The sequence below is a fragment of the Homo sapiens genome, chromosome 12 (assembly GCF_000001405.40).
Source record: "Homo sapiens chromosome 12, GRCh38.p14 Primary Assembly".
Classification (NCBI taxonomy): domain Eukaryota; kingdom Metazoa; phylum Chordata; class Mammalia; order Primates; family Hominidae; genus Homo; species Homo sapiens.
Genome location: NC_000012.12, coordinates 52,077,973 through 52,084,212, shown reverse-complemented (window position 1 = coordinate 52,084,212; position 6,240 = coordinate 52,077,973). Strand labels below are relative to the sequence as shown.

Genomic DNA, 6,240 nt, shown 5'->3' with positions numbered 1-6,240 from the left:
TAGTAGAGACGGGGTTTCACCATGTTGGCCAGGCTGGTCTCAAACTCCTGACCTCGTGATCCACCTGCCTCGGCCTCCCAAAGTGCTGGCATTACAGGCATGAGCCACTGCACCCAGCCCTGTCTTGTTTATCTCCTCATCCCCACGTCCCAGAGTATGCCTGGCACAGAGCGGTCACTCAGTAAATACTCATGGAAAAGAGAATAAAATGAGTGTTCCCAGGAATAGAGGGCTGGTTCTATACCTCTTCTCTCCTCTCCTCTTCTCTTCTCTCCTCTCTTCTTCTCTTCTCTCCTCTCCTCTTCTCTTCTTCTCCTCTCTAGGAATGGTCAGGTTCAGGGAAAATAATGATGCCACAGGATGATTACTATGCAGAAAGACTTTTTTCAATAAATAAGCATGTTACCTATTTGATCAATGACAAACCTATGATATTGTCACCTACATTTTATAAACTAAGAGACTGAGGTTTAGGAAAGTTTTGCAATCTAGAATTCCATGCACATGCTCACGATACCCACTCCCATCTCAAAGCCGAGGCTCAGGCTGGACTCTGATGAGACAGACCCCAACAGTGACTGGTTGAATGAAGCGGTGCTCTTGCCCACACTGGCCACAGGGGGGCAGCCGAGTGCTGGCGTGAGGGTGGCTTTCTGCCCCCACTTCACACCCACCCTCGGAAGATGTGGATCTGAAGGTGCAAGGGGAAAAGCCACCACTGAGGAGAGGCCAGGGGACAGGGGCTGGGGTTGCTATATCTGCTAGAAATAGGTAAAACTGGAGGGGAGTCGGGGAACAAACCACTAATTCCTAGAGTCAAAGGCTGGAGACAGATCATAGACCTGAAGCTTGCATCACCAGCATATTTAATAACAGGCCACAGAAAGCGATGCAGCATTCCTGGATTGAGGGGGTGCTGCAGGCCTGCAAATGAGAGGCACTGACTTGCAGCAGGGGCCGGTCACTGTCAGACCGTTGCTGCCTCACACCAGACAGTACAGGCGCTGCACTCATGTCCTCAGAGGCCAGAAGGCAGGGGGCACAGCCAGCACCTGCTGCACCAGGCATCCAGGATGTGTGGCCACTTCAGTGCCCAGGACATGCAGCAGGCCTCAAGCGGGCTGGGAGTGCAGGTCTCCCAGGTCCAGGCCCACACCGAGCACTTCCAGAGGTCCAGTGGAGCAGTTCAGAGGCAGCAGCTGGGTGCAAGGATCCCAGGTTGAGGTCTCACCACAAGCCAGGTATCTCCCAGTCTGTCATCTGCAGCAAGAATGGGCTGAAGGTGGCAGGGGATCCCCAGAGTGGCAGCAGGAGAGCAGGCTCTCTTGCTGGCAGACGATGTGGGGCTCAGGAATCTGTAGAGAGAGCCACCCCCGTCTTTGCTGCAGAGGGAGCTGCACTATGTGGAGACTGAGGAATGGACTCCATAAACCTCTCACAGGCTTTCCCAGCTTAGGGAAAATCTCAGGGGCTGGAGGAAGGTTAGGGCAAGATCTGAACCCATCAGCCGCCCCAGCCCTTCCCCTATGGACGGTGCAGGCTAAGTGAGCTGGCTAGGAGTTCGGGTGCCTGGCTTCTCTCCCTGGCACTCAGACCTGCACCCATCCCCCACATCTCACTCCCAGCTGGAGCCTGATGGGGTAACAGCAGCACCCACTTCCCAATTTTCCACATTCTTTCCTGCCCACTCAGCCTGACAGCCTTGACCAGGGTCAGAATTCCACAGCAAACATCTCAGTCCCTTCCCACAGGAACACTGAGGTCCCTGGCACACCCCACGCCCTGCCCTCCAAGCACTGGACTCAGGAACAGCAACGGGAGGAAGTTGGATGAAGAAAGCCTTTGCCCCCACCTCTACACCCCCGCCCCAGCCCTGTCCTGGGTGTGAGCAGACACGATGATGCTGGGGGCACAGCCCTTCCCGGCACCAAATCACTCTACACCCTCACACCACAGGAACTTGAGCCCAAAGGCCAAACGGAAGGTCATCAGCCTTCGGCCCTGATCCCTCGGCTCTGACCGCTTGGATTTTTTTCCACGGATGTTTATTCCAGCTGACCCTCTAAGCCCATCCCCCCTCAGGTTCAGGCCAGGAAAGCTGAGCCCAGCTGGCTGAGGAGCTGCTGCCGGCATCTGGAAGACTGCTCCCCACAGCAAGAAGGTAGGCAGGGCCCCGGGGAAGCAGGATGGGAAGGGGGCAGTGGCACAGGGGTTTGGGGGTCCATCCCTGATTCGCAAATGTATGAAGAGAGGCCGCGTTTTGCACCAGCATCTCAAAGAGTGATGAGAAAGCAGGGAAGGGAAGAGGACAGAGTGAGAGGGGCCCCCAAGTGCCAGAAGGGGGCCTGAACTTGGAATCAGGGCCCAGGGTCTGCTTCCAGCTCTGTCATTCATGTGAGCATGTCACTTACTGTTCTCCCGCGTGTAAAAGAAAGGGGTTCCCAGTGATCTGGAGACCCTCTCTCCCAGCTGGGAAAGGAGAGGAGAGTATGGGGCCAGAGGGTGACAGGCAAGGCAGCTGGGTGAAACCGGGTACAATCAAGAGAGGAAGTTCCCACCCTCTCCCCCAGCAAAGGGAGGGGGGAATGTCCCCTGGGCCCAGCCCCCTGCCTGTGCCAGGTGCAGTAACAGACACACTACACACACGCCTCAGGGCCCTGGACAACCCTCCCTCCTAGGGGGTGGAGTGGGGGGAGCTGAGGGGGCCCTGAGGTGAGAAGTCCCTGGCTCAGCAAGGCCAGTGTGGTGCCGCTGCCCAGGATTAGTGCCAAATCCTGGGCTGCTGGGCAGGGATCACACGTTGTCGTTAGCTTCGCAGCTGCTTAGCTGCACCTGCCCACACCCTCCCGCTGCCCCTCACAGGCACTCAGCCTGACTCCTTTCTCGGATGGAAACTGGGACCCTGCCCTACCCCAGATAAGCAGGGGAGGGGCTCCAGAATCGGGGGAGGGGGGGCAAGAGAGGCCAAAGTCACCCCTGACAAACACTCCCACCCACAGAAACCCCCAGGGCTCCTAGGTACAAAGCTGAACAGAGGGAAGGAACAGAGAAGGCCTCTCCAGCCCCTGTGGCTCTGTCCCAGGTGGCTTTCGCCTGTAGTTACCTTGTCCTCAGGCCATCCAGGCCCTTCCCTCCAGATGGCTCCTGTCCTTGGAGAGACAGAGGGAGACACCCAGACAGAGCCCCCACAGCTGGAAATCCTCAGCCCCACTTCCCGGAGCAGCGCTCCCGAGGCCCCCCAGCTGCGGGGAACCCTGCCATCCACACCCCCCAACACACACCACACAAAGCTCCTTGCTCTGGGCTACATCTACTCCCCCACCCTTCACCACCCCCTCCCCACGACCTGAGCAGGGTCCAGGGAAGGGCCTTCCACACACCTCCCCATTCCCCAGGGCCACCCAGGCCCCTGGATCTGCCCTCAAACATGACCACACTCCCCTCCCTGTCTCAAGAGGGAGGCCAGGCAAGGAATCTCCCTCAAGCACCCTCCCAGGGAAAAGCCTTCAGGAAGCTGAGGCCAAAGGCTGGAGCCGCCTGCCTGTCTCCTCAGCCCCGTGGAGTGGGCAGTGCTGGGGCCCGCAGAGTTGGGCCTAGGACCTATAGGGGCTGGGGCAGATGCAGACCATGGAGGTGAGGGTGGGGGCTAGGGAAGAAGCCCCCAAAGCACACTGTGGCCTCCAGACTCTCTCCTCTGTCATCCTCCTGCCTCCACAACCACCCCACAGTTACACAGCAGCCTCTGTTCGTAGAAAAAGAACATAAGGCTGGAACACTTAAGATGGGAGGAGGGGGCCAGAGCTGCAGGAGACACAATCCGGGGCGGGGCGGCCTCCTCCTGATCCCGCACACCTGGGTGGGCTGCAGCCCCACCGGCCGTGGACTTACAGAGCTGGGAACCTGAGTCGCTGAAGAGCGACTCATTCTCCAAAGACAGGTGCCTTGCCGCGCCCCAAGAAGCCTCCTCAGTAAGGAAGCTACTGTAGCCCCCCGAACCCCCGCGCCCACACTCCTGCTACCCTCCCTCTCACCTGTGTGGGGCGCGCCGCTTCGGGTAAGGGGTCGGGACCGCAGCAGCCGTCGGGCATGCTCCGGACCGCTCGGAGTCAGGGGCTGCCTGGAGGCCGCGACCACCGAGCGCAGCCGGGCGCCTAGGAGTCGTCGTCGCCGTCCTCTCCGCTGGCACTGCCCGGCTCGGGCTCGCGGGACGCGCGCTGCTCGCGGGTCAGCAGCGCTGTCAGGCCCTGGGCGCGGAGGAGGAGGCCGCCGCCCAGGAACAGGACCCCGCAAAGCACCAGCAGGGACAGCACGCCGAGCACCACCGCCTGCACCGCGCGCGGCCCCTCGGGGGGCTCCGGCGGCGACGCCGACTGGTTACAGCAGGAGCTCAGCCAGGCGGCCTGAGCCGCGGCGCCCGCCTGAGAGCCGTTCATGCTCCAGCGCCGGCTGCCCAGATGTGGCGGGATCGCCAGATGTGCAGGAGCCCAGACTGGCGGGCGGGCCGGCGGCTGCGTCGGGGAGGGAACCAAGGGGCGGACCCCAGGCGCCCTACGCCCCTACCCCTTGCGCAGAGCGCTCGGGCACTTCCTAGACAAAGAGCTCCAGCCGTTGTGGCTACGGCCCTTTCTCCATAGGCCCGGACTCCGGGCCTGCTGTATTTCTTCTCATCCCCAAGGCCCACAGGCACCCCCATGCAAGTCCAGTCAGCCAAAACCAGGAGCCCTGTCCCCAAGAGTCCCTCCCCTTCGCAAAGTGGGCCAAGAGGTACACCTGGGCAGAGCCCTGAGAAGATCCTCAGACCCCATCCCAGCTGCAGGCTGGGGTGCTGCCCCTCTGAGCAGGACACAAGACAAAGGTGATTGTCCCCATTCTTGGGCTTTTTATCCCTAGACCAAAGTTCTATGCTGCTAGGTGGCCCAGGTGGCTGCTGAGCCAGGAGGCACACGGGCAGCCATAAGGGTGAGTGAGTCCCACCCTTCCTCGTCCATCATCCCCTTCAGAAGCCTCCTAGGGCTGGACAAGCAGGCCAATGCCTCCTCCACACTCCACAGCAGGGAGACATTCAGGTACAGCAGAGCAGAGCAGAGCATGGGGAATTTAAGGCCCACCCCCACTCCTTTTCTCAGGCCCCATAGGCCAAGGAGAGTCACATTTACAGACCAATGGGAGAGCACAGATTTGATCCACCAGGACTGCAGTCCTGACCCTGGATAAATTAGTCCCCCACTTCAGAAAATCGCAATGCCATAAGGGAAGGGAATGTTACTGTCCCATCTACTAGGGTAGCCCATTGCCAGCTAGGTGTCCCACAGCCAAGCCAGGGTGGGAGAGTGGAGCAGAGTCCAGCTGCAGAAAAGCAGAAAGACTGGAAAAGTGGACAGAGAAGCAAGACCCTCCTGCCAGGTCTACCAAAAAATTCTGTAGCAAGCCTTGAGTCCTCTTCTAAAAAATAAAGTCACTGCCAGTCAACCACCTGTACCAGTCCCCTCAGAAGGGATTAGATTAGCTGATGGCTGTCTGGTAGGAAAACAGGAAGAGTCCCCAGACTGCAGCAGGCCAAGTGGGGGGTCACATGCTATCAAGGACTTGCTAGAAATTGGCCTTCTTCAACTATAAACCCCCCTCCTGAGTCCTCCAACTCTCTGATGCCCCAGAGATCAAGAGTAGAAACATCACGTGGCCAAGGGTGACTCGGAATGGGAAAAGCGCATTCCAAGTGCAAACACTTCCTGGTCATCCTGACTACCTACCCTGCTCCAGGACCATGGACAAGACCCCCCACTCCCACCCCATTTCTCCCTCAGCATCCCTCCCTACACACAATTCATTTAGTCTGGTTAGAACTGGCCCAGAAGCAGCCAAAAAGCATTGTAAAACATGGACTGTATTGATGAGAGCATAGCACACAATGGGGGCTTGAGTATGGGGGTACAGAAATGAATGTGAGTTACCGAGGCAATGGCAAGGGCCAGCCCAAGCTGGAAGAAGTGTCACCAGATGCCGGATAGTCTCAAGCTGGCCAATGTGTCTCCAGACATGACCCACATCAAATGACCTTTCTGGTGCACATGGGGATCTATGTGCTCTATGAAGACAGAGAAGATACTCTCTGGGGCCATGGTGAAGCAAGACCAGACAACATAAAGGCCAGGGATGTCACAGCTTCCTTAGAAAAGGTGGAGATAACACAGGAACAGAAAACCAAATACATGTTCTCACTTATAAGTGGGAGCTACATGA

General features: G+C 58.5%; 1 protein-coding gene across 1 annotated transcript in view; it reads right to left on the bottom strand.

Moving 5' to 3' along the window:
- The window catches only part of SMIM41 (small integral membrane protein 41), a 28,552-nt gene extending 24,043 nt beyond the window's left edge, over window positions 1-4,509 (bottom strand). The window contains exons 1-2 of the mRNA NM_001369216.1: window positions 4,032-4,509; window positions 245-319 (exon numbers count right to left, since the gene is read on the bottom strand). Coding sequence (NP_001356145.1) covers window positions 4,152-4,433 — 282 coding nt within the window. The 5' untranslated portion in view covers window positions 4,434-4,509 and the 3' untranslated portion in view covers window positions 245-319; window positions 4,032-4,151. The remainder of the gene's footprint in view (window positions 1-244; window positions 320-4,031) is intronic.
- Window positions 4,510-6,240: the final 1,731 nt, after the last annotated feature.